This window comes from Homo sapiens, chromosome 6 (assembly GCF_000001405.40).
Source record: "Homo sapiens chromosome 6, GRCh38.p14 Primary Assembly".
Classification (NCBI taxonomy): domain Eukaryota; kingdom Metazoa; phylum Chordata; class Mammalia; order Primates; family Hominidae; genus Homo; species Homo sapiens.
Window position 1 is genome coordinate 69,787,232 of NC_000006.12, and position 25,301 is coordinate 69,812,532.

Genomic DNA, 25,301 nt, shown 5'->3' on the forward strand with positions numbered 1-25,301 from the left:
TGTTTTCAAAAATTTTTTCAGTACTACTTTTGAGAGTCAGCAAATAGTCCAGTTTCAAATAAAAACTCATGAATTTCACTAATCCTCACCGAGCCGCCCAAAATGAGAAGGGAAAATACAGACACACAGAATGTTTCAAGGTATCAAAAAAACTACCAAGAAAAATCTGATACATTATCTAAGTTAAAAGCAAACAGAACTAGAGACAACTTAATAATGAAAAGTAGGAAAGGCCAGTCACAGGGGCTCATGGCTGTAATCCCAGCACTTTGGGAGGCCAAGACGGGTGGATCACCTGAGATCAGGAGTTCAAGACCAGCCTGGCCAACATGGTGAAACCCCATCTCTACTAAAAATACAAAAAATTGGCTGGGCATGGCGGTGTGCATCTGTAATCCCAGATACTCAGGAAGCTCTGGCAGAAGAATCGCTTGAACCCAGGAGGCGGAGGTTGCAGTGAAACTCCGTCTCAAAAAAAGAAAAGTAGAAAAAAACAAGAACCAACAACTGATGAATAACTAATATCCTAATAATGAAACAAAGTTTTAAAAAAGTAGAGGGAAAAGTTTTAACAGATATTTTCCCCTTCTAAATATTAGTGTAACATTTAGATTTAACAAATATAGTGTGTTAACTACAGCCATATTTTTTTTCTTTTAAGGGCACATGTATTAAAACAAGCACCCTCAATTTTTATAGTTAATATTTTTGCTTCTTTAGTGGATTCTTAAAATCTTGTTCAAACAAGTATAATGCAATCTCATAGATTTAAATATCGAAAACAAAGAAACAAAACAAACCTATTTCCTAGGAAGCGAGCACTAATTTAAGCATGTGCTCAAAACAATACTTAATCTAATAGAAAGTTCATAATTTCATGAAAATACTTTAGAAATTTTTTTATTATATTTTAAGTTCTAGGGTACATGTGCACAATGTGCAGGTTTGTTACATATGTATAAAGATGAAATGTTTTCCCACAAAATCTAAATAAATCAAACATGCTCAATTCTAAACTAAAAAAATCTCCGATTCAAACAATAATTATACCAGGGATAATTATATGACCTCTATACATCAGAATACACACATATACATATATATCATTATCTATTTAAACTTAACAGCTTTCAGAAAGAAAAATATCCTAGAAATTTATAATTATGTACTGTACATTTGGAAGTATACTACACTGTTTTAAAATAAAAAGAATATCCAGAAATTCTGAAAATGTCAAAATCTCTTATCCAAGAAACAAAGCGATATACAGAGCCAAAAGAAATTAAACATTTTTATAGAATTTAATTCTAAAATGACACTTATTTATCAGAGAAAATGACCTCATAATGTTACAATCAACCATTTAATTATCTATGTCTAACAGTATTAAAAGTGTATTTATTCTTGCCCAATAATAAAAAGCAGAGAAAACCCAATGACACCAGTAAAATTAGTCATTTTCTCTAGAAATAATGTTTCAACCCAAAATATAAAATGTGAATTAAGTTTATATTTTGAAAAAATGTAGAATCACTAGTAGGTATCCTATTTACTAGGCTACCTGAAAATATCTCTTACTTGTTTAGAAGCCATCTTCCCAAGAAACCTCATGAACAAAGCTCTCTGGAACCAAACTGCAGAGCTTCAAATCCCAGCTTCAGCACTTACAGGCTATGTTATTTCACCTCTTTGAACCTTGATTTTTCAGCCACAAAAACACAGATACTACTACTTATCTCACAGGATTGTTTAAGAGACCAAAGGAAGTTACTAAATGTAAATCACTTAAAATAGAGTCTGACACATAGCAAATATTTAATAGATGTTATTTACTATCTTTATAACATTACAATGTTTGGCACACACTAAGTGCTCAATTAAAACTTGCTAAATGGTGTACAGAAAAAAAATGTGGTTTTCACAGCAATCAGAGTATATCTAATTTTCATAGTAATCAGAATAAATTTAAACCTAACTACAAAAATATTTTCAAATTATTTACCCCATTTGGACCAGGGATCGTGGCTCATGCCTGCAATCCCAGCACTTTGGGAGGCTGGGCACGTGGATCACTCGAGGCCAGAAGTTTAAGACCAGCCTGGCCAACATGGCAAAACCCCATCTCTACTAAAAATACAAAAAGAACTAGCCAGGCATGGTGGCTGCATGTCTGTATTCCTAGCTACTTGGGAGGCTGAGGGACGAGAATCGCTTGAACCCAGGAGGCGGAGGTTACAGTGAACCAAGATCATGCCACTGTACTCCAGCCTGGGCAACAGAGTGAGCCTCTATCTCAACAAAATAAAAAATATATATATAAAATAAAATAAAAAATAAAATAAAATTATTTACCTAATTTAGCCCAATTCAGGAAGTTATTTTGTAATCATGTATTATTAAGATAAATGAAAAACTATTTCATTCAAATATTTAAGTACTAAAGCTAAATACTGGGGCTACAACAACAGAGACAGTTCCTGAGTCACAGAAGCTTAAGCTAGTAAGAAACTTAAAAGTAATTTGCATAATTTAAAGGAAACTCAGAAACCTTTAGTCCACACCCTTCATTTTTAAAATGAGGAACCTCAAGTCCAGAAAAGTTAAGTGGTTTGGCTAAAGGTCCACAGCTAGACAGTTAAGGGTCAAGACTAGAACTCAGATCTTATAATTCCCAGCCTAATTCACTACACCATACTGACTCAAAGTACTCAATATGAAACGGAGATTAGGATCCTGATCTGCCACTAACAAAAGCCCTTCTCAATTATTTACTTATTGCATTAATGCAAATCAAATAAGCTTCAAGGGAGTTATGAGCAGCAAAAAATATATAACCTATTATGATTACTTAAAGCATTTGCAGGGCGGCTGAATTAATAGTTCTTATGTCAGTTGTAAGTCTGCTTCTGGTCTATCAGGTTAGATGTCACATTCTCAGCTTCTATGTTGTATTTCCATTCTCATTCATTCCCAGATACAAAAATAAAACACAATATGTATCGGACTGCCAAGTGTGCCAGAAATTTGAAAGGAAAAAAAATCTGCAAAGTAAGATTATATTTACCTTAAATGTACCATTTTGATTTTTCATGTAAGAAACCAAAAATATATCCACTGGTAGAAGTGCTGATGTGATAAGTGCAATTGCTAGAGAAAAAATTGCTGTTATGGTGGAGACAACTTCACTTTCCCGCCGACTTTGGTATTTACGAACATATATCCAGCAGAATGCCAAAATAGCCTGAAATAGAACAAAAAGAGATGTTTGTTACTACCCAGTGTATTTTCTCTGATTTTTGTATGTGTTTGAAAGTTTCTAGCAGGAAACCTTATGTGAAGTAAAGGTTATTTTAGTTGTGTAAGGAAAGCCCACTATCCCTTAAAAACTTGTCCAAGATGTATAATTTTCAAAGCCTACTTCATGAATGCAGTACATCACGTATGCATACACACACAATACTATTAATAACAGTGCTCAGCTACATATTTCCTCATTAAACACAGTGCAAACGTTAATGGTTTCACACATCACAGTTATAACTAGCTTTGAATATTTTTTTCCCTGTAGATTTTTCCAACCTAAAAGAGATATGAGTAGAAGCTGTTCTATTCTAGGCTTATTACTGAAGCATTACAAAATATAACTTGGATGAAAATTAACTTCTGTCCTGTTCTGACAGTTCAAGAATAGCATTGAGCTAAAGATTAACTGCCAGTAATCACCATGCAATTATCACATTATACTATAATTTAAATTTTAAAGAGCATTAAACAAAGAAAAGTCAATGCTGAAAATGGATACATGTGCACAGCAAGGAGCTTTCCAGTGAAAAAAGTTCACTCAGAGGTAGAGGTTGACATCTCTAGTCAGCCAAGTACTCTTAATAGTTACCAATGCCATTCTAGTGACTAACACAGAGCATAGGACTTTAATGATTCTCTAACGTTAGGAGGCATCGGAATCACTTGGAGGAACTGTTAAAGCACAGATTGCTAGGCCCCATCCTCTGAGTTTCAGATTCAAGAAGTCTGGAGTGGAGCCAGAAAATCTGCATTTGTAACAGCTTCCCCAGGTGAGGCTACTGCTGGTCCAGGGCTGTATTTTGAGAACTTCTACTCTACTCATAGGGAGTTGCAGACAGAGACTGTGTTATTTCAGCCTTCACTGTGAGTCAGAATCACCTGGGTAACTTTTAAGTACCCTTATAACTTCCCTACATTCCCCAATCAATTCTATCAACGGAGAATAAGGCTCCTCCAGGCATCAGTACTTTAAATGCCTGAGGATTTCAATCTGAGCCAAACTTGAGAACCATTGTTCTAAATAAGAGCTCTGGTAGTTTTAAAAGCCTTGTTTTGACCTTTCACTTTTTCAACAGCGGTTACTTTCTTTCTGAGCATCCTACAATTCCAGGGCCCAAATGAAACTAATAAAACCACCAAACTAGTTTTGCAGCTTCCAAATCCTTCTACCGCAAGCAAGATACAAGAACAATTCCATCATCTCAGAAAATTCCTTTGTCCCTTTGTAGTTAACTCCTCTCTCTGCCCCCAGCCCTTGAGACAGGAATAATGCATGATGTTCACAAGGGCTAAAAAATTCCAGAGAGCAGTTTTCCATGACTAGAGGCTAAGGGCTAATAAGACCCTGAAAAACCAGGGTGTGGACCAAGCTGGTTAAGACCCACTGGACCCAACATGGCAATGGATTTGACCTAGGTTTCACCTAGGACCTCATTATATGCTCATTAACATGCTCAATCACACACCTACCAGCACCATGGCAGTTCCAAGACCACTCATATTTGATGTAAAAATGGGTGGCACCACAATTTCAAGAAGTCTCTACTTTTTTCCAGGAATTTTCATGAATATGTCCCTTGGATAAAGAAACCCATAAAGGTAGAAACTCCAAACCTCACCGTGTGTCTCTCTCTTAAGAATGCCCACACGAGTGTGTACTTTTCCCTTTAATAAATCTCCACACTTACACTATTTTCTGACTTGCCCTTTAATGTCTTCTCATGACAGTGTCAAGAGCCTGAAAACCAGCTGGGGTTGAGATCCCACCAGTGTTTGGGGATCTCCCTCAGCCCACCAGTATCACCCTGACAACCACTATCTGTTTTCTGCCCCTATAGTTTCTGCCTTTTCTAGAATATCATAATGCCTTCATATAGTATGTTGTCTTTTCAGTCTGGCTAGTGTCATTTGGCACAGTGCATTTAAAACCCATCCAAGTTGCTGCATGTCATTGCTTCATACTGCTGGCCTTTCAACTGGTGACAGAATAGCAGGAAAGAATTGACTGAGAAGGGAGTTAAGACTTTGGAACAAACAAACAAAAAGGATCTAGGCTCAAATTCTTGATTTTGGGAAATTTATTTTTCATAAAATGTGACTTTGTATTAATATTTGAATGAGCTTGTTTTTAAAGGAATTCATAAATATTTTTAACATTCCCCAAATTCATTCTGAAGTCTTTGAAAGCTGAGTCTCATCTTTATATCCTCAGCAGTACTTGACACAAAGTGTTCCAATAAATTTTTTATTGGATTTCAAGAATGAAAGAAAACCTGCATTTTGTAGGTATTACTGCAAACAAAGGATTTTGCCAATATCAGGCAGACAAGCTAGGAAACGGCAACCAGGCAGAAGAGTTAAGCCAGAGATTCCCAAACTTTTTGGTCTCAGAATCCCTTTATAATGGTTTTAAAACTGATAACCTTAAAGAGCTTTTTGTTCATGTTATCAATCATTACTACAATATAAAATAAAACCAAGTATCCTCGTCTATAGGAATACTTCTTTCATAACAAGTTATAAGGATTAAATGAGATATAAAGGGTTTACCATAGTGGCTGGCCATAGTAACTGCTTAACAAACAGTAGTAGTTATTAGATAATTTGATAAAAGAAACAAATATATAACTCTGTTAACAATTATAAAGAAAAGTTTCAAATAGTCCCCCCAGCTTCTCCCAAAAGATTCAAAATAAATTGGTCTGAACACTGAGATTTTTAAAACTCCCCAGGTGGTTCTGATGAAAGGTCAAGTTTGCAAACCACTGGGGCAGAAGAAGGAATGAGAAGAGATGAATCTTCATTAAACTAATGAGAATAGATGACATACTGTATGGGATCTTGTTAAACTGCAGATCTGATTCAGTAGGACTGGGGTCACATATTTGGTATTTCTAACAAGTTCCCAGATGATGCCCACACTTTAAGGAACAAGAATAAATTTGCTTTACAAAAATGGAGAGTCTCCTATTGTAATGGCAAATACAATTTAAAGGTGGTGTGAGCCAAATTACAGAGGACATTGAAGCTAGATAGAACAGTTTAGATTTGATATAGTAAAGACAGACATAGTTAGATTACAGGCATGAGATACCAAATCTAACAATTCCTTATGTGTGAAGAAACTGAAGTCCATTCTTTTTGCCCACGATCACAAAAGTAGGCAACATTCATGTCCTGAATCTTTTTTTTTTTTTTTTTTTTTTTGAGACGAAGTTTCCCTCTGTTGCCCAGGCACTATCAGAGCTTGCTGCAACTGCCTCCACAAACCACCTCCTGGGCTCAAGCAATCCTCCCACCTCAGCCTTCTGAGTAGCTGGAACCTCAGGCATTTGCCACCTCGCCCGGCTAATTTTTTGTATTTTTAGTAGGAATGGGGCTTTGCCATGCTGCCCAGGCTGGTCTCAACTCCTGAGCTCAACTGATCCACCTGCCTCAGCCTCCCAAAGTGCTGGGATTACAGGTGTGAGCCACCACACCTGGCCCATGTCCTGAATATTTAGTAGATGATTGGCAGAAGTTCTCCAAGTGTGAAATCCCTAGGCCCTGGTAGTCCCCAGAATCCTTTCTGGAGATTCAGAAGTTGAAAACTATTCTCATAATAAATACTAAGATGCTATTTGCCTTTTTCACTGTGCTGACATTTGCACTCATGGTTCATAGCCACAGTGGGTAAAACTACTGGTGCATTAGCGTGAATCAAGACAGTGGCACCAAACTGCACCAGTAATCATTGTATTCTTCACCACAAGTTCAAAAAGGGACAATTTAAATTAAGACTGTGCTTCACAAAGCAGCATAAATTCATTTTATTGAAATTCAACCCTTGACTCTTTTTAATACTTTGTGGGGTAAAATATGAAGCATGCGTACATAAAGTCCTGCTGCATACCAAGATGTGATGGCTATCTCCAGGAAAAGTTTAGAGTTAAAAGCTAAACCAACCACTCTTCAAGGAACACCATTTTTACTTGAAAGAACAATTGTCAAACTGGTTATTCAGACTTCGCTTTTTGGCAGATTTTGTCAAATGAACAAAGGGAATCTATCACTTAAAGAAAAACTGACAGTATTTGATACCAATGATAATTATGAGTCAAACTTTCAAATGAAAATTGGATTTTGAAAGACTTACATCCACAAGTATGAGCTTGACAACTCTTCAATACTTAGAATTTTCAGAGACATTTCTGACAAGATCAGTTGTAATTTAATGAAATGTGATATTTTGATATTGTGTAATGAAACGTATCCATATTTAAAAGATGTGCATAACTCAGTAAACCAACATTTTCTAAGTGGCCATGGCATCATGTTATAAAACCATGCATGGGTAAAAGAGCCTTTCAAAGTGCAAGATGGGCTAATGGATTTTAATGTAACAATGAATGAAATGCTCATTGATAGGGTTTCAGATTCCACCTTGCAGCTGACATGAATCTTCCACTTGTTGAGCTTTGGTGTAGTGTCAAAAAACATCCACAATTATCTGAAAAACGCTCCTCTGTTTCTGACTACCTATCATTGCAGCTGTATTTTCTCCATACACTTCGACTAAAATAACATACCCCAAAAGACTGAATGTAGAAGGCAACAAAAGAAACCAGCCTTTCTTCTAATAAACCAGGATTTAAAGAGATTTGCAGAAATTTAAACAAAAGTCCTTCTTCCTAATGCTTTTATCCACGACAACATTCAATTCTGATTTTATTTGTCCTTGCTGTAATATTGCCAACTTAAATGGCCTCTCTTCTTCATCTATCCAAACTCTACCACAATTCTCATTTTCTTCCAATATTGTTGTCTATTCTCTTAAGTCCTGCTTTATTTATAGTCACACTTTGGCTTTCGGTCCATAAAATACATGTTTCAAGAATTTCAGTTTTCTCACTTATCTTCAGGCCCTCTTTAAAGCCGTATTTTGTTTGGTTTACATCCTCTTACAATTCACACCACTTCTGTACCGTAAATGTTTATTAATTTATAACTGCCAAGATAGTCTCACGTAACTTTCATACATTACATGCTTATTTATTTTTTTCTAAACAAACTAAATCTGATGGACTGGAAAAGCCAGGGGGCTCTCCAAATACAGGACTGGGTGGCTGCAGAGACCACAGTCAACCTTTAGGGTTTCATTTCCTCCAAGAGAGGACTAACATGTTCCAGGGTAAAGGCAGTGTTTTTATCTGTGACAGTGATGGCAGTAACAAGAGGATCCTTTTCTTAAATTTTCACACCATTCTTTTCTTTTATTTTCTTTTTTTAGTCTCTACTGCAAAAATCTACTAGAACATACTACATAGGTACCAGACACCAACTGGATCTGACAATTAAAGTAAAACCAAACAAGCCTGATTTCCAGAACTGGAGGTTTTTGTTTTGCAATGCAAAAAGGTCAAAATACGTGAGAACAGAAAGTAACTACAGCCTCGGACGATGAGAAAAGAGAAGATTTGAGAAGGTAGAGAAGTTATGAAAGGAAATAAATTGAACTCCCAAATAAACCAAAGGGTTTTAATATGAACAGGGAAGTAATAGCCAGGCCACTCTGAGACATTTCTATCTACACTTTGCTCACTGAATATGCAGAAATAAGATCGTTGGAAAAGAAAGCACCTGAGGTCAGACAGGTAGTAGTATATACTCCGATACTGGTAATAAAGAGGGCTACAGCTCCGCCCTCCACAGGTATCTACACCAATCAAAAAAAGATTAGAAGAGAATGTGACACCTGGAAGTCAGAACGAGCAACTCACGTCATCAAGGCAGAATCACACAATGGGCACAGAGGTTGGAGACTCACTAGCCCCAAGGGTAGGGAAAATGAGGGAAAAAACATACAGAGAAGGTGACAAGTAAACAACGCCAGCGCCTACTTAACTTGCAAAGATCCAGCGCTGCCGCCCCACACCGTGTGACAATGTTTTACAGGGGACGAAAGGCCACCACATACTTCTCAACCCCGAGGGTCTCTTCCGCCCCCAAACCCCACCGGCCCCATTGCCCAAGTCAGCGATGACGGCAAGAGCTTCCAAAAAGGACCCTGCAACCCTAGACGTCATCGGTGAAATGACAGCAAAAGAGACCGGAAATCGACACCCCCCTGCCCCCGCCGCCCGCCCAAGCCCCCAACACTAAGGAGCCCTCCACAGTCCAAGCTAAAAGCGGGGCGGGGCGAAGAGGGTCTCCGGGGCCCGGAGAGGCCAACTGCAGGGCCTGCCCCTCCCTTCCTCCCCCAGTCCAAACATGGGGAAAACTCCAAGCGCCTCCCCTACCAGTAGTAAGAGGCCGAATATGCACCAGCCGATCACCAGCTCCGCCGAGGCCGCGCCAGAAGTCGCCATCTTCGCTTCCGGTCCAGACCAACCTGAGCGCCCGGGGTGGGGAAAGGGGAGGGGGAAAGGGGAGAGAGCGCGAGATATACTGCACCCGCGCACCCTAAAGGTTAAAGGGGCGGAGGGGGAGGAGCAAGTGGTTGCCAAGGAGACTGGACCCACTAGCGTCCCCTGGCGGCGAGCCGAGCGGGGGCGGGGCAGCAAGGACTGCTCAGGGGCGGGGCGCGTGCGGACGCAGTGACATCACCACGCTGCCCTCGCTGGCTTCCCTGCAAGCTGAGATGTGGGAGGGCTGCAGAGCAGGGTGTTGGCTCATAGCTGGGCAACCTATTGAGATATTTGACTCAGCCTAAGTTGATAGACTAGAACAGCAAGGGAACTCCACAAAGAATGGGCTAGGTGGACCTGGAGATCCAAGTCAATTTTAGAGGTTTATACTTCTTCACCAAAAGGAAGTTTGGCCCTCGTGTACAAGGTGGAATGTGTGTGATTAGCAGAACTCCTTACCAGGTTGCAAGAATGGCTGATGTCAGGCCTCTGAGCCCAAGCTAAGCCATCATATCCCCAGTGACCTTCACGTATACATCCAGCTGGCCTGAAGCAACTGAAGATCCACAGAAGTGAAAATAGCTTAGCTGATGACATTCCACCATTGTGATTTGTTTCTGCCCCACCCTAACTGATCAATGTTCTTTATAATCTCCCCCACCCTTAAGAAGTTTCTTTGTAATTCTCCCCACCCTTGAGAATGTACTTTGTGAGATCTACCCCCTACCCCCAAAACATTGCTCTTCACTCCACCTCCTATCCGAAAAACTGTAAGAACCAATGATAATCCCACCACCCTTTGCCGACTCTCTTTTCGGACTCAGCCCGCCTGCACCCATGTGAAATAAACAGCCATGTTGCTCACACAAAGCCTGTTTGGTGGTCTCTTCACACGGACGCATGAGACAGCTGACTCTGAATAAAAGTTGACTAGCTGCCCAAATCACTCTAATTTACTGGCACTGGTGCCCAGCCGGGATAACTGGTTGGCTGGACATGAACTTATCACATGATGTTATAGCCTTTCTATTCAGATGTATGCATGCCTGTGAATTTCCATGATAGCTTTGTATGTAAAGGTATATGCATCAGCAAACAAAACACACTGCCATAGGCCCACAATGAAGAAGAAGGAGGAAACTCTTGGGATGGCTTACCTGAGTCCACAGGGAGGAAACTCTTGGGATGGCTTACCTGAGTCCACAGGGGTGTGAGTGCATGTTTCACCACTGTGATGTAGTCAAGAAACAACTCTGAGAAAAAATACCATCATCTTTTTCCAATGTATTATGTGGTGATGAGTTATGCTCTACCTATAATCTACTTCCGGCTGGAAGCCTGAGGGAAAAAATAGGATGGTCCTTCCTGCCTGGACAGAATAAGAAGGGAATAGGGGAGAATACAGTTTTAACTTGAACTGGTACCATCATAAGCTGGCTTTAAGCCCTCTAGACCTGCAAATGTTTGAATTTCACTCTTTCTTCCTAATAATTCATATCCCTGGAGACCTCTGTCATAGCTTCCTTAAAGTGAAGAGAGGTATCGCTTCCAGGTTGATATCTCTATTCCAGATTGTATAGAGCACCCTTGACATAAGTAACTACTTCTTAGAAAAAGATTCTGTTTACATTTCAAAAGGAATCATGCCAAAAGGGACCAGATGTTCACCTAATCAATAGAGACTGCACCCAACCAGATAACGACATAACCAGGCACACTCTTTTATTATTATTATTATTATTATTATTATTATTATTATACTTTAAGTTCTAGGGTACATGTGCACAACGTGCAGATTTGTTACATATGCATACATGTGCCATGTTGAGGTGCTGCACCCATTAACTAGTCTTACATCAGGTATATCTCCTAATGCTATCCCTCCCCACTTTCCCCCACCCTACAACAGGGCCCAGTGTGTGATGTTCCCCTTCCTGTGTCCAAGTGTTCTCATTGTTCAATTCCCACCTATGAGTGAGAACATGTGGTGTTTGGTTTTCTGTCCTTGCAATAGTTTGCTGAGAATGATGTTTTCCAGCTTCATCCATGTCCCTACAAAGAACATGAACTCATCCTTTTTTATGGCTGCATAGTATTCCATGGTGTATATGTGCCACATTTTCTTAATCCAGTCTATCACTGATGGACATTTCAGTTGGTTCCAAGTATTTGCTATTGCAGGCACACTCTTTACTATCAGTCAACACCAGAGGACTCTGAGGCTATAAAAAGAGTAGAACTTCAACAGCTCAAGATAGCCATCTTAACAGACACTGTCTTACTGTCACTCATGATCAGCATCTAGCATCTGCCACCAAAGGTTCTGCTCAAATCAAAGACTCTTCCTTGCAAAATGTTGATATGCATCCTGATCAGCCGAGGACACTCTCCTTGTCCATGTTGCTCTCCTTGGATTGGTTAATCCTGTTTTCCTAACCTTTCTCTTGATGTTAAATGTTATTTTCTTTTAGAATGTTTAGCCTATAATATTTATATGTTATGTATACTACTATGTTTGGTTTGCAATATTGACTGACTTGTGGAGTGGCTAGAGCTTTGTGTCCTTGGTTCTGACTACCAAATGAATGGGTACTACTAAGGAAAATTACCTCCTTCGGACCTTCATACAGCTCATGGCTTTTATGATTGAAATAGCATCAACAAAAGTCTGACTGTGGAAAGACACAAACTTGCAGGGACTTGAGCCACTGACAGGTAGTCACTTATATCTCCTCCACAAGCCCCAGAGCATACTGAGGTATACTTAATTATTCCTTTTCCTGCTGAGGTCTTGTAATCTTCTTCTAGAAGCTCATTTAAGTTGGAGGAGAGGCCTAAGACAACCCCAAGCCAGTTCTTCCCCTTTCCCCAAATAGTCTAAATCCCCTCTGTAGGAATGATGATACATACCTTGCACCAACAACTTTGGGAGCACAGGCCAATCCCAATGTAGCTCCATTCTCCTAGTTCTACAATCAAAGGAATCAGCCCTTTTTGATTATACCCAAGAAAGTCAGCCCCTGATGCTACAGTCCACTGTAGTTCTCTCTACTGGGTCAGACACTAGCCCTCTGTGTCCTCAATTTCAGGGGCCATATTTCAAATTCTCCAAGTAGCTCCCTTGAGGCCTCCCTTACTAGGCTAAGGGTTAGAAGGTAACACCCCACTCCAACCCACCCACCCCTCCACCTCACCCACAAATACACCACTCTTTGGAGTTAAGGATGGAATTCCACAGGTCAGCAACAGTTCTCATTAAATAAATCTGTTTATGAATCTTCTCCTCTTGCTAATACATTTGTAGAAATTTTATTTGTCTGAGGGGTCTAAGAGTTATATAATAAATTCTTGAATCCCTTTTTAATTATGCATATAAGGGAGAATTCATAGTTAGAATGCAGACAAGTAAAAATAAAAATCTGACCCTCCTCCATGGAAGCCCTGGGGCCTCCGTTTTTTCTGGGGACCAGGATCCAGGTCTCCTGCTCACCTGGAGGTAAGAAAGGGAGCCCAGAGTCAGGACCCAGTGAGAGGGTTCTGGAGCTGAAAGGAAAAAGACTCCCCTAAGGATCTTGAGGACAGTCAAAATTTGCTGAAATGTCCCATTTCTGGAGAACCCTACCATCTCCATGACTGCAAGCCCATGTTAGCCTGCTGGAGAATGAGATACCATGGGGAGGAGAGCCAAACTGCTCCAGTTGACAGCCAACTCACACTCAGAAGCAGAGCCGCCTAGTCAACAGCAGCTGATCACATATGCCTGAAGGAGCCCACCTGAGCCCACAAGAATGGCCCAGTTGAGCCCTGCCCAAATGGCTGAGCAACTCCATCATGAGCTAGGAAGTCTTGCATGGTTTGTTATACAATAGCTAAGTAATATATGTACCCAGTATGAATGGGATGTCAGGATTCAATGACAGGTTGATTACTAGTTACCTGCAAACAGAAAGCACCCGACAGGTACAGATTTCATTTTCCCCTTATTTAAAGTTGGATCTCTTGTTAGATGGTGGTGAGTTATACCAAAATGCATGTAGATGTGTGCATGTGATTGGTGCTTAAATTACGCAGTCCGCCATGCCACAGGAGGAAACAGCCATGGCCTGACCATTAGGGCCAAGGCCAAATAGCAAATAGCAAAATAAGAAGTTCACCTTTAATCTATTTCCTCCATACCTAAACTTTGGAGATCAAGGATGTAGACAGATCTGAAGACATTGAGTTTCCTTTTTGAGGGGCCTTATCATCCTTTGTTTACTGTCTGATCTCTGGAAGGAAGATGGACGCCAGGTGGGCAGCAGTGGTAACTGTGGACACTTTCTTCTTGTAAACCCTGCTTTCTAGGGGCAAAAATCTCTCACCCTTGGGCCTGAGGAGAGTTGTTGGGAGGCAGAGGCTGTTCCCTCACTTCTGGCAGGAAAGAGTGTTTCAGGCCCTTCACCTTCCTTAGATCAAGAGAGTCAGAGCCCTCAGAGCTGCACTTCAGTGTGGCAGCCACTAGCCACGTGGGGCTGCTGAGCACATGGAATAGGCTGCTCTGAACTGACATGTGCTGAAAACTTAACATATAGACAGAGTTGCCAAGATTTAGTGCCAAAAGCTATATACTTCATTAACAATTATATATTGATTACATATTAAAATGATAATATTTGGGATATATTGGGTCACATAAATTATTATGATAAAAAATCTTCCCCACTGCTTTAAATTATATGTGAAATTGGAGCTTTTACTGAATCTGGACTAAATATTTTTAACATCTGATGTGCCCTCCATTGAATTAAGTCCATTAAATAAACTGGCCGAACCCTTTTGCTGCCTCTGACTGCCAAAGTTGTATTGGGCAGTTGCTTGACTTTCAGTTCGGAAAAGCCTCATATTTCTGTGTTGTTGACAAGAGTGACTAGTTACAGAGGAATAGTAATTTGAATCAGAAAGATGAGTAGAGTGAGAAGAAAAAGTCATTTTGGGGGGTAGGTATAGGCATGCATATCAACATTCTCTTTATTCTTAAGTCTAGTCATTTAACATATAAATCAGATCAGCAAGGACTGAACACATTCTCTTGAATGATGTTTTTAAATCTAAGAAGCCTCTGAATCAGACCAGAGTTTTTTTAAAATAATATTTTTATTTGCTGTTTACAATTACAAAGGGAATACATGCTCATTTATAAATATTTCAATTTGAATAATTTAGAAACAAAAATCACTCTTATAAATTTACACAATCCTTCCTACCCTAAAATACTTCCCTTTAAGAGCTTCTGGGGCTTTTTGTATGCACATTCTGATGTGTTCAGTGAGAATGTAGAAAACTAATACCCCTTTCCTGTTCGCCGGTAGTTACTGTAGAATGCACTTACTTAACCCCTCACCCAACAACTCATGGAAAGATACCAGGATTTCTGTGGACTCTGTTCCATTTTAAGTTCAAAGAAATGGTCAAAAAAGCTAGTCAACCCCAAGAGGTTTATTAAGAGAAGGTATCTGTCATGCCAGACCCCTATTGACTTCAGTAGCAATGGCACTATGTTCAAGAGGCCTAAGAGCAGACCCAGAGCCAGCAAAAAAGACATAGGGTTTACTGAGAAACTTACATATAAGGAGAACATATAGGAGAAACACTACCATTTGTAAAAAGTATGCAGTTTATACAGCATTTTCACTTAGCACTCTCCCCCTAACAACACGGGGCAACCTTCATTTAACCCAAAACAAAGGGCTTTAATCCCCTGTATGGCCTGTGTTCATGGGAATGGGCCGGGAGTTCAGATATTCCTCGTACATAAGGAATGAATCCCTGGGTTGGCCACTTCTAGACTCCTTAGCTTGTAATTCTGAACATACATTCTTCTTAGACCATAGGGTCTTTCTCAGAGTATGCACAAGTTAAGTTATTGCTGTCAGGTGCGTCTGCCATAGAACATTCCAGAAAAACTTCTATCAAAACTAGACTCCCTTGGCTATATTAAGAGAGCTAGTAGCCTTTGAAGAAAAGCAAAGTTTATGAAGGAGCAACTATTTCTGCCCTCATTTCTCCAACCCTCAGCTTTTGAATGGTTTCTGTACCCTAGAGCCAGTTGAAGGAAGACACAGAATTTGAAGGGAGAGTGTGACCTGAGTTTTGGGAGAGGCCCTGCCTCTTGTAACTGCTGCAGGTGACTAGCACACAGAAATTCCCAGTATCTTGGTGAAGAAAGGGTATGGACTAGCTCCTCCCCATATTCTCACCACACGCACGCACACACACACACACACACACACCCATTGAACTCACTGAATGCTTTGGAGGATTGCCCCTGAGAATCACCCTATTCATGTGCTTATTCCTGTGGAAGCTGCGGAGAGATGGAACATCCTCTGCTGGGGGAGGCACACATGGAAAGCTGGGGAGCAGCCCCGAGGGGGGAACAAAACCAGGCAATGATTGCCTACAGAAAGGTCATTTTCAAGCCAAAACCAGGCAAAGATAAAACCAAAAAAATAAGACTACCGTGAACATAAATGCCAAAACTATTAAGAAAAGTGTTCATGAAGTAGGGACAATCCTCCACTGATCTTTACCCTCCATGGCATTCAATGAGTGCCCCTCCTGGAACTGGGGGATTGGGGGTGAGTTTGAGGGCCAGGAGGTATAACAGTGGTGTCTCATTCCCTTTATGAGGTGGTTTTAGAAAACCAAAGACAGAGCAGGGCGCGGTGGCTCACACCTGTAATCCTAGCACTTTGGGAGGCCGAGGAAGGCGGATCATGAGGTCAGGAGATGGAGACCATCCTGGCTAACATGGTGAAACCCTGTCTTTACTAAAAATACAAAAACTTAGCTGGGCGTGGTGGTGGGTGCCTGTAGTCCCAGCTACTCAGGAGGCTGAAGCAAGAGAATGGCATGAACCTGGGAGGAGGAGGTTGCAGTGAGCCGAGATAGCGCCACTGCACTCCAGCCTGGGTGACAGAGCCAGACTCCATCTCAAAAAACAAGCAAACGAAAACCAAAGATAGGATTGTGATCAAGTGGCATAAACTGGGAGACAAAATTTATAAAAATAATCTTACATAGGAATTGGTAGAAAGAACAAAAAGAATACTGAAAGTATTAACAGGAAAGAAGAACAGCATGGCAGAATAAATTTATTTTAACAAGACAAAAAAGAGATAAAAAGAATCAGGAAAGAGACTGTTTTCTTATCAAAACCCCAAAACCAAGAAGTAGTACATAGAGACTTAACTAGGGCTTCAACTGTAGAATAGAAGGGTGGGTGACTCAAGCCTACTTCGGGGTCTGCAATCCAAAAGAGCCCTACAGAAATGACTTCCCAACTTAGCTCCTGAAAGTGGAGTCAAGCTAACTGCATAATGGGGACTAGACTAGGGATATAGTTTGTAATCTGAAATTATTTAATATATTTAGACCACAGTTTAACTATGCATCCAAATTCATTATGTGTGTTGTACCATTGGATGTTAACATGTTGATGTTTTAAAAACATAGCTGATGATTATATACCAAATTTTTAAAATTTGTTACCTGAAAACATTGAACTATTGAAGTCCAAATAAAACTCTTGGAAAACCTTAAAATTTCTCTTTCCAACTGTCATTTTTTTCTGTGCTTCCATTTCTAACCAATAAGCCTCCTGATTGACAAGTTTCTTCCTTAGTGATTTTAATTCCTTTAGTCTGGCTATAGTTAAACATTACTGGCCTCAGATCCTAGTGACTTTGTGCAAGTCTGTCATGATCCATAAGGTGTTGATTTAGAATTTAGCGTTCTGCTGTGTTCTATATAGTGCCTATACTTGATCTGTCAAAAGGATTTAGCAATGATCCAAGGTGAACATTAATGTGGTGCTGAGGATGTTTGAGCACACCTGCCTTCTCTTCTCAATACTACATGATCTCCTTTTCCCTCCTAATCCTTCCATGTCATCTAACCAAATAAACCATCACAACCCTAAGACATTTCTTCTTTTGTGATAAGGTTTTTTGTGTTTATAAGGTCATGGGAATGTATGGTTGAGAGACACATTTCGTTCGGCTAGAAATTTGCTCATTTATATATAATCCCGTAGAAAGCCAAAAGTTTTGCACAAGTGCCAATCTATGAAAAATTAAATAGTTATGGTCTACGTTTTGTTATTCAAAATAAAAATAGCTTTTTTGAGGCCCAACATATAAAGGATATTCAAAAACCTACTTCTGGTTCATGCCTGTAATCCCAGCACTTTGGGAGGCCAAGGCAGGTGGATCGCCTGAGGTCAGGAGTTCGAGACCAGCCTAGCCAACATGGTGAAACCCCATCTCTACTAAAAATACAAAAATTAGCTTGGCACGGTGGCTCATGCCTGTAGTCCCAGCTACTTGGGAGGCTCAGGCATGAGAATCGCTTGAATTCGGGAGACAGAGGTTGTAGTGACCCAGTGACCCAAGATGACACTACTGCACTCCAGCCTGGGCAACAGAGTGAGACTAGTTCTCAAAATAAATAAATAAATAAATAAACAAAACAAAACAAAAAAAACCTAGTTCATCGATTTCATTGAATAGAAAAAAAAATGCCAGGGAGAAGAAGAAGAATGCCACTGAAATGTTAATATCTCGGTGTTTTATTTGTGAACACAGAGACAACTTTCCAATTTACTATCTTAAAATTAGATTGCACACAGTATCATAATGTGAATTGTAAACTTTACATTTCCATATTTCTATAAGCTCTCAATGGCTACTGTTTATAAACTTTTCTTCTCCTGATAAAACAAACATTTCCATGTACACTAATAAATGTTCACTTTTTCTTTTCTTTTTTTTTTCTTTTTGAGTCGGAGTCTCACTCTGCCGCCAGGCTGGAGTGCAGTGGTGCCATCTCGGCTCACTGCAAGCTCCGCCTCCCGGGTTCACGCCATTCTTCTGCCTCAGCCTCCCGAGTAGCTGGGACTACAGGCACCGCCACCACGCCCGGCTAATTTTTTTTTTTTTTTCATTTTTTTAGTAGAGACGGGGTTTCACCGTGTTAGCCAGGGTGGTCTCAAGCTCCTGACCTCGTGATCTGCCCGCCTCGGCCCCCCAAAGTGCTGGGATTACAGGCATGAGTCACTGCGCCCGGCCTAAATGTTCACTTTTTCTTAAGATTTTTCTTCTGCATAAGAAAAAAATAATTTATTCATAATTTAGACGCATGGAATACCTCTAAGTATTTTTTATTGTGTCAATTCCTAAACCTGGTGTGTATTTCAAGGTATACAAATAAATTTGCATATACTACTCAACCATAAGTTGATGTCAAAGTCAGTTAACAATATGAGTAGAAGTTATAATAACTGCTTTTTATTTATGACACTTAAAAATATCTATAGCACACTCAATAGTTTTAACAAAAAATGCTCCTTTTTTTGTAGCATGTGTTGCTCTTTTTTCAAACAATAGGATCCCTCTCCTGACTCAAGCATATATTCTTTTTCATAGCATGATTCTGTTTGTTTTATTTCTAGGCAGATTTTTTCAGCTTATATTTGAATTCAAAGTGTAACCGTTAGTATTCAATTCCCATATGTTAATGACTTATAGTCATAACATTTTATAAAAACAATTGGTCTTATTAGAATTTATGAGACTACAGTAAGTCATTTCTAGATAACTATTTGTGTAACACTATGTGAAATAATTTAAAATTGATCTTTAAAATTTTAAACAATTGATAGACTAGAATCATTTATCTTTACATTATCATTTGCTGCCAAATACATTCTGTAATTTATTGTTTCATGTAATCTTTATTACATTGTTTTTAATGTAATAAAGATATAAAGTAGGGAATTTAAACTGGTATATCTGAATCCTGTTTTAAAAATATTCTAAATTAAAATTATTGTATTAGTTCATTTTCATGCTGCTGATAAAGACATACCTGAGACTGGGAAGAAAAGGAGGTTTAATTTGACTTACAGTTCCACATGGCTGGGGACGTCTCACAATCATTGCAGAGGGCAAAAGGCACTTCTTACATGGTGGCAGCAAGAGATAATGAAGAAGAAGCAAAAACAGCAACCCCTGCTAAACCCATCAGATCTTGTGAGACTTTTTCACTATCATGAGAATAGCACAGGAAAGACCAGTCCCCATGATTCACTGACCTCCCACTGGGTCCCTCCCACAACATGTGGGAATTCTGGGAGATATAATTTAAGTTGAGATTTGGGTGGGGACACAGCCAAACCATATTATTCTGCCCCTGGTCCCTCTCAGATCTCATGTCCTCACATTTCAAAACCAATCTTGCCTTCCTAACAGTCCCCAAAAGTCTTAAATGATTTCAGCATTAACTCAGAAGTTCACAGTCCAACATCTCATCTGAGGCAAGGCAAGCTCCTTCTGCCTATGAGCCTACAAAATCAAAAGCAAGTTAGTTACTTCCTAGATAAAAGGGGATGCAGGCATTGGGTATATACAGCCATTCCAAATAGGAGAAATCAGCCAAAATGAAGGGGCTACAGGCCCCATGCAAATCCAAAATCCAGCAGGGCAGTCAAATCTTAAAGCTCCAAAATAATCTCCTTTGACTCCATGTCTCACATGCAGGTCACATTGATGCAAGAAGTTGGTTCCCATGGTCTTGGGCACCTCCGTCCCTGTGGCTTTGCAGGGTACAGCCTTTCTCCCAGCTGCTTTCATGGGCTAGCATTGAGTGTCTGCAGCTTTTCCAGGCACACAGTGCAAGCTATGGGTGGATCCACCATTCTGGGGTCTGGAGGATGGTGGCCCCTTCTCACAGCTCCACTAGGCAGTGCCCCAGTAGGGCTCTGCGTGAGGGCTCTGATATCACATTTCCCTTCCGCATTCCCCTAGCAGAGGTTCTCCATGAGAGCCCCAGCCCTGCAGCAAACTTTTGCCTGGACATCCAGGTATTTCCATACATCTTCTGAAATCCAGGCAGAGGTTCCCAAACCTCAATTCTTGACTTCTGTGCACCTGCAGGCTCAACACCACATGGAAGCTACCAAGGCTTGGGGCTTCCACCCTCTGAAGCCACTGCCAGAGCTCTACCTTGGCCCCTTTTAGTCACAGCTGGAGCGGCTGGGACACAAGATACCAAGTCCCTAGGGTGCAAACAGCACATGGACACTGGTCCCGGCCCATGAAACCATTTTTCATCCTATGCCTCTGGGCCTGTGATGAGAGGGGCTGCTGCGAAGACCTCTGACATTCCCTGGAGACATTGTATACATTGTCTTTGGAATTAACAATCGGCTTCTTGTTATTTATGGAAATTTCTGCAGCTGGCTTAAATTTTTCCTCAGAAAATGGGATTTTCTTTTCTATTGCATGGTCAGGCTGCAAATTTTCCAAATTTTTATGCTCTGCTTCCCTTATAAAACTGAATGTCCTAAGCACCCAAGTCACCTCTTGAATGCTTTGCTGCTTAGAAATTTATTCCACCAGATACCCTAAATCATCTCTCTCAAATTCAAAGTTCCACAAATCTCTAGGGCAGGGGCAAAATGCCACCAGTCTCTTTGCTAAAACATAGCAAGAGTCACCTTTACTCCATTTCTCAACAAGTTCCTCATTTCCATCTGAGACTACCTCAGCCTGGACTTTGTTGTCCTTATTGCTATCAACATTTTGGCCAAAGCCATTCAACAAGTCTCTAGGACGTTCCAAACTTTCCCATATTTTCCTGTCTTTTTCTGAGCCCTCCAAACTGTTTCAGCCTCTGTTACCCAGTTCCAAAGTCGCTTCCACATTTTTGGGTAAATTTTCAGCAGCGCCCCACTCTACTGGTTCCAATTCACCCTATTAGTCCATTTTCATGCTGCTGACAAAGACATACCTGAGACTGGGAAGAAAAGGAGGTTTAATTGTCCTTACAGTTCCACATGGCTGGGGAGGTCTCACAATCATGGCAGAGAGTGAAAAGCACTTCTTACATAGTGACAGCAAGACAGAATGAGGAAGAAGCAAAAGCGGAAACCCCTGATAAACCCATCAGATCTCGTGAGACTTATTCACTATCACAAGAATAGTATGGGAAAGACAGGCCCCCATGATTCAATTACCTCCAACTGGGTCCCTCCCACAATATGTGGGAATTGTGGGAGATACAATTCAAGTTGAGATTTGGGTAGGGACACAGCCAAACCGTATCAAATATGAAATATATTCATGAGTTAAGAAAAGCTTTTAGAAGGAAGTATCATCATGGTAGCGTTTTTTGTTTGTGTTTATTTTTTCATCTTAAAAACATTTTTACTTGACATGTATTACTTGTACTTATTTATGGGATACAGAGTGATATTTTGATACATGTATGCAATGTGTAATGATCAAATCAGGGTAGTTAGCATATTCATCACCTCAAACATTTATCATTTCTTTGTGTTGTGAACATTCAAAATCCTTTCTTCTGGCTTTTTGAAAATATACACTACATTTTTGTTAACTATATTCACCCATTAGGTTTTAAAGGAAGAAAAAGAGTTTATCAAACAGACTAGGAGAAGAGTAAGCAAACATCTCATTAAGGCAACAACAAGTGCAAAGGCACAGGAGTCTGAAATACCATGTTAAGTATTACTTGAGTGATCAGTAACTCAAGTGGCAGCAATTGGCCACTTAGATACTAGATCACAAAGGGATGTATGTGCTCCACTAAGAAACTTAGGCTTCATCCTGTAGACAATAAGAGCCAGTGAAGTGTTTTAAGCAGAGAAGAGAAATAATCAGACTTGCATTTTATAACTGTCTCTTTAAGATAAACTGAATGCTGAATAGGAAGTGGGAAAATGAAGTAAGGGTTCATTTCAGCTACAATCAAGACAAGAGATGATGAAAGCTAAACCAAGGTTATCGATATGAAAGAAGATACATTTATGAGATGGCAATAAGATTAATTTTCAAGACATGCTGTCCAGGTATGGAGAATGAAAGAAAGAGGAAGGAGGTAGAATACTGTCAGGGTTCCATCAAATAAACTAAACCAGTAGGAGAGAGAGAGAGAGCACATGCGTGTGAGAGAGAAAGCGAGCAAAGAATTGACTTGTGCAATTGTGGGGGCTCCTTAGGCAAGTTAGAAATTAATAGAGGAGGGCATCAGGAAGAGCAGACTGGAAACTCTCAGGCAGGAGCTGACACTGACAGTCATTGGTAAAATTTCTTCTTTCTGAGGGAAATTGCAATCTGCCATAAGTCCCTTCAATTGATTGACTCTGACCCACGGGATCATTGAGAATAATTTTATTTACAGTTGGCCCTTGAACAACACAGATTTGAACTGTGCAATTCTACTTATGTGCAGATTTTCTCCTGCCTCTACCAACCCTGAGACAGCAAGACCAACCCCTCCTTTCTCTCCTCTTCAGCCCACTCAACATGATGACAGTTAGGATGAAGACCTTTTTGACAATCCATTTTCATTTAATTAATAGTAAATATATTTTCTCTTCCTTATGACTTTATTTTCTTTTTTATTTATTTATTTTTTTGTTTTGAGACAAAGTCTCACTCTGTCACCCAGGCTGGAGTGCAGTGGCACAACCTCGGCTAACTGCAACCTCTGCTTCCCGGGTTCAAGCGATTCTTCTGCCTCAGCCTTCTGAGTAGCTGGGATTACAGGCACCTTCCACTACGCCTGGCTAATTTTTGTATTTTTAATAGAGACGGGGTTTCTCCATGTTGGCCAGCCTGGTCCCGAACTCCTGACCTCAGGTTATCCGCCCACCTCGGCCTCCCAAAGTGCTGGGATTACAGGCATGAGCCACCATGCCCAACCATAATTTTCTTAATAATATTTTCTTTTCTCTAGTTTTCATTATTGGAAGAATGCAATATATAATAAATACAACATGCAAAATATATGTTAATCAACTATTTATGTTATTGGTAAGGATTCCAGTCAATAGAAGGCTATTACTAGTTAAGTTTTTGGAGAGTCAAAAGTTATAGGCAGATTTTCAAGTGCATGGGGATTCAGCATCCCTAACCCCTAACTTATTCAGGGGTCAACTGTACTTAGTCAACTGATTGTAGATATTTATCATGTCTACAAAATACCTTCACGGCAACACATAGCATTTGAATAGTTGATTATTATAGCCAAGCCGAGTTAACATTAGAGATGCTTTTCAGAATTGTAAATTGAGAGATGTGGAGAATGATGATGCCACTAATGAAGACAGGGAACATACGAAGAAGAGAAGATTAAGGGTGAGGAATGACAGAAATAAACTGTATTTCATAGATTCTAAGATGCACTTTTCTCCTTTACATTTTAACATCTCTGATGTTAGGACTCACCTTTAAATTGATGGGATCTTACCACTATAACTGGTATATTTTGTTCTTCATCATTTATAAAATGATGGTGCATCTTACAGTCAATGTCACCTTAGAGTGAAGGAAACAAGGTAGTAGATTTTATTTGGTACCTTGGATTTGAGGTGCCTGAGGAACACGGATAGCTCTAGTTCATAGAATGTATAGGCGGGAAACTCAGCCAAGGGACCTGCCACAGAGGTATGAGTCATCTATACTCAAGTAAAAGCTGAAGCAATGAAAATGCAAAAAATTCCCAGGAAAAATTGGTAGAAGTGAGAATAATAGTCAGCTAAATAGACAACCCTAAAAAAACAGCAAACTTTAAGGAGAGAATAAAAGGAAAAGAGTGGTTAGAACTAATAATCAGAATACATCATATAAACAAAGAGAGAAGATACTTTTTAAAACTAATGAGTAGCTGTCAATACCAAATATAGTGAGAGGACTAGCAAGTGCCCACCGAGTATGGCAACATGAGTGGGGGGGTCATTAACGAATTTTCTAGAATAATTCCACTGGAGTGGATAGGAAGCAGACAAGTTGCACTGGCTTAGAGGAATGAAGGAGAATTAGGAAAACGGAGGTCATGAATGTAAAATATTCTTTCAGGAAGCTTGACTAAAAAGGGGTGGAATAATGAAAAAGTTAAATAGAGAGGATAAGGTCAATGGTGATTTCTGCAGAAGTGACTCAGATTTGAACTCATTTCTAAGAAACGTAGAAAAGGCGTGGGCCACTCTTATGTTACTAAACCAAACAGGGGTCCCATTGCCCAGTGCAGTAAGGCCAAATATTCATACCGAGGTTGCTTTGCAGCAGGAGAAAGGAGGGCCTTTATTAGTAGGGTACCAAGCAAGGATAATTGGGCAGCTGAAATGTAAGACCCAAACTTCCAGATGGCTTGCAAGCAAGGGTGTTTAAAGGCAGAGGTAAATTTCAGGAAAGCAGAAGTTATAGGCAAAACTATAAATCAACACATAGAGGTGATACATTGGTTTGGCCTACAAAGGTGGAAGCAGAGTCAGGTGGGGCAGGGTGCTTCCAGGTCATAACTGGATTTCAAAGATTTTCTGACTTGCAATTGGTTAAAGAAGAGAAGCTTTGTTTAAAAATTTGGGATCAGAAGAAAGAAATATTAAGTCTGGCCTGTGGGCGTGACTTCCTCCATGCCCCTCAGGAAGAAATTTAAAGCAAGAGTTCAGTCCTCAATTACCTCTTATTTGAGGTCTACATGCCAGGGAATCCATTTGGTGGGGGTACCAGCTTCTAAGAAACAACTCAGGGACATATATTCTGATGT

At 40.0% G+C, this 25,301-nt stretch overlaps 1 protein-coding gene across 4 annotated transcripts in view, besides 4 other annotated features; it reads right to left on the reverse strand.

Annotated features, from left to right (window-relative positions):
- Positions 1-9,779, reverse strand: part of LMBRD1 (LMBR1 domain containing 1) — a 123,001-nt gene extending 113,222 nt beyond the window's left edge. The window contains exons 1-2 of one of the 4 annotated variants that reach the window (NM_018368.4): positions 9,582-9,779; positions 3,065-3,241 (exon numbers count right to left, since the gene is read on the reverse strand). In NM_018368.4, coding sequence (NP_060838.3) covers positions 3,065-3,241; positions 9,582-9,650 — 246 coding nt within the window. In that variant the 5' untranslated portion in view covers positions 9,651-9,779. Of the gene's footprint in view, positions 1-3,064; positions 3,242-9,062; positions 9,379-9,581 lie in introns of those variants that run through there. The other 3 variants (NM_001367272.1, NM_001367271.1, NM_001363722.2) reach the window with 3 other exon arrangements.
- Positions 8,730-9,286: an enhancer, noted in NCBI's record as "NANOG-H3K27ac-H3K4me1 hESC enhancer chr6:70505853-70506409 (GRCh37/hg19 assembly coordinates)". NCBI's record gives its function as "activates a minimal SCP1, AML or CMV promoter by ChIP-STARR-seq in naive H9 embryonic stem cells {active_cell/tissue: H9 hESC(naive)}" and the evidence as "EXISTENCE:reporter gene assay evidence [ECO:0000049][PMID:30033119]".
- Positions 9,111-9,160: an enhancer, noted in NCBI's record as "active region_24726". NCBI's record gives its function as "activates an Ori minimal core promoter by ATAC-STARR-seq in GM12878 lymphoblastoid cells {active_cell/tissue: GM12878}" and the evidence as "EXISTENCE:reporter gene assay evidence [ECO:0000049][PMID:35858748]".
- Positions 9,287-9,842: an enhancer, noted in NCBI's record as "NANOG-H3K27ac-H3K4me1 hESC enhancer chr6:70506410-70506965 (GRCh37/hg19 assembly coordinates)". NCBI's record gives its function as "activates a minimal SCP1, AML or CMV promoter by ChIP-STARR-seq in naive H9 embryonic stem cells {active_cell/tissue: H9 hESC(naive)}" and the evidence as "EXISTENCE:reporter gene assay evidence [ECO:0000049][PMID:30033119]".
- Positions 9,471-9,700: an enhancer, noted in NCBI's record as "active region_24727". NCBI's record gives its function as "activates an Ori minimal core promoter by ATAC-STARR-seq in GM12878 lymphoblastoid cells {active_cell/tissue: GM12878}" and the evidence as "EXISTENCE:reporter gene assay evidence [ECO:0000049][PMID:35858748]".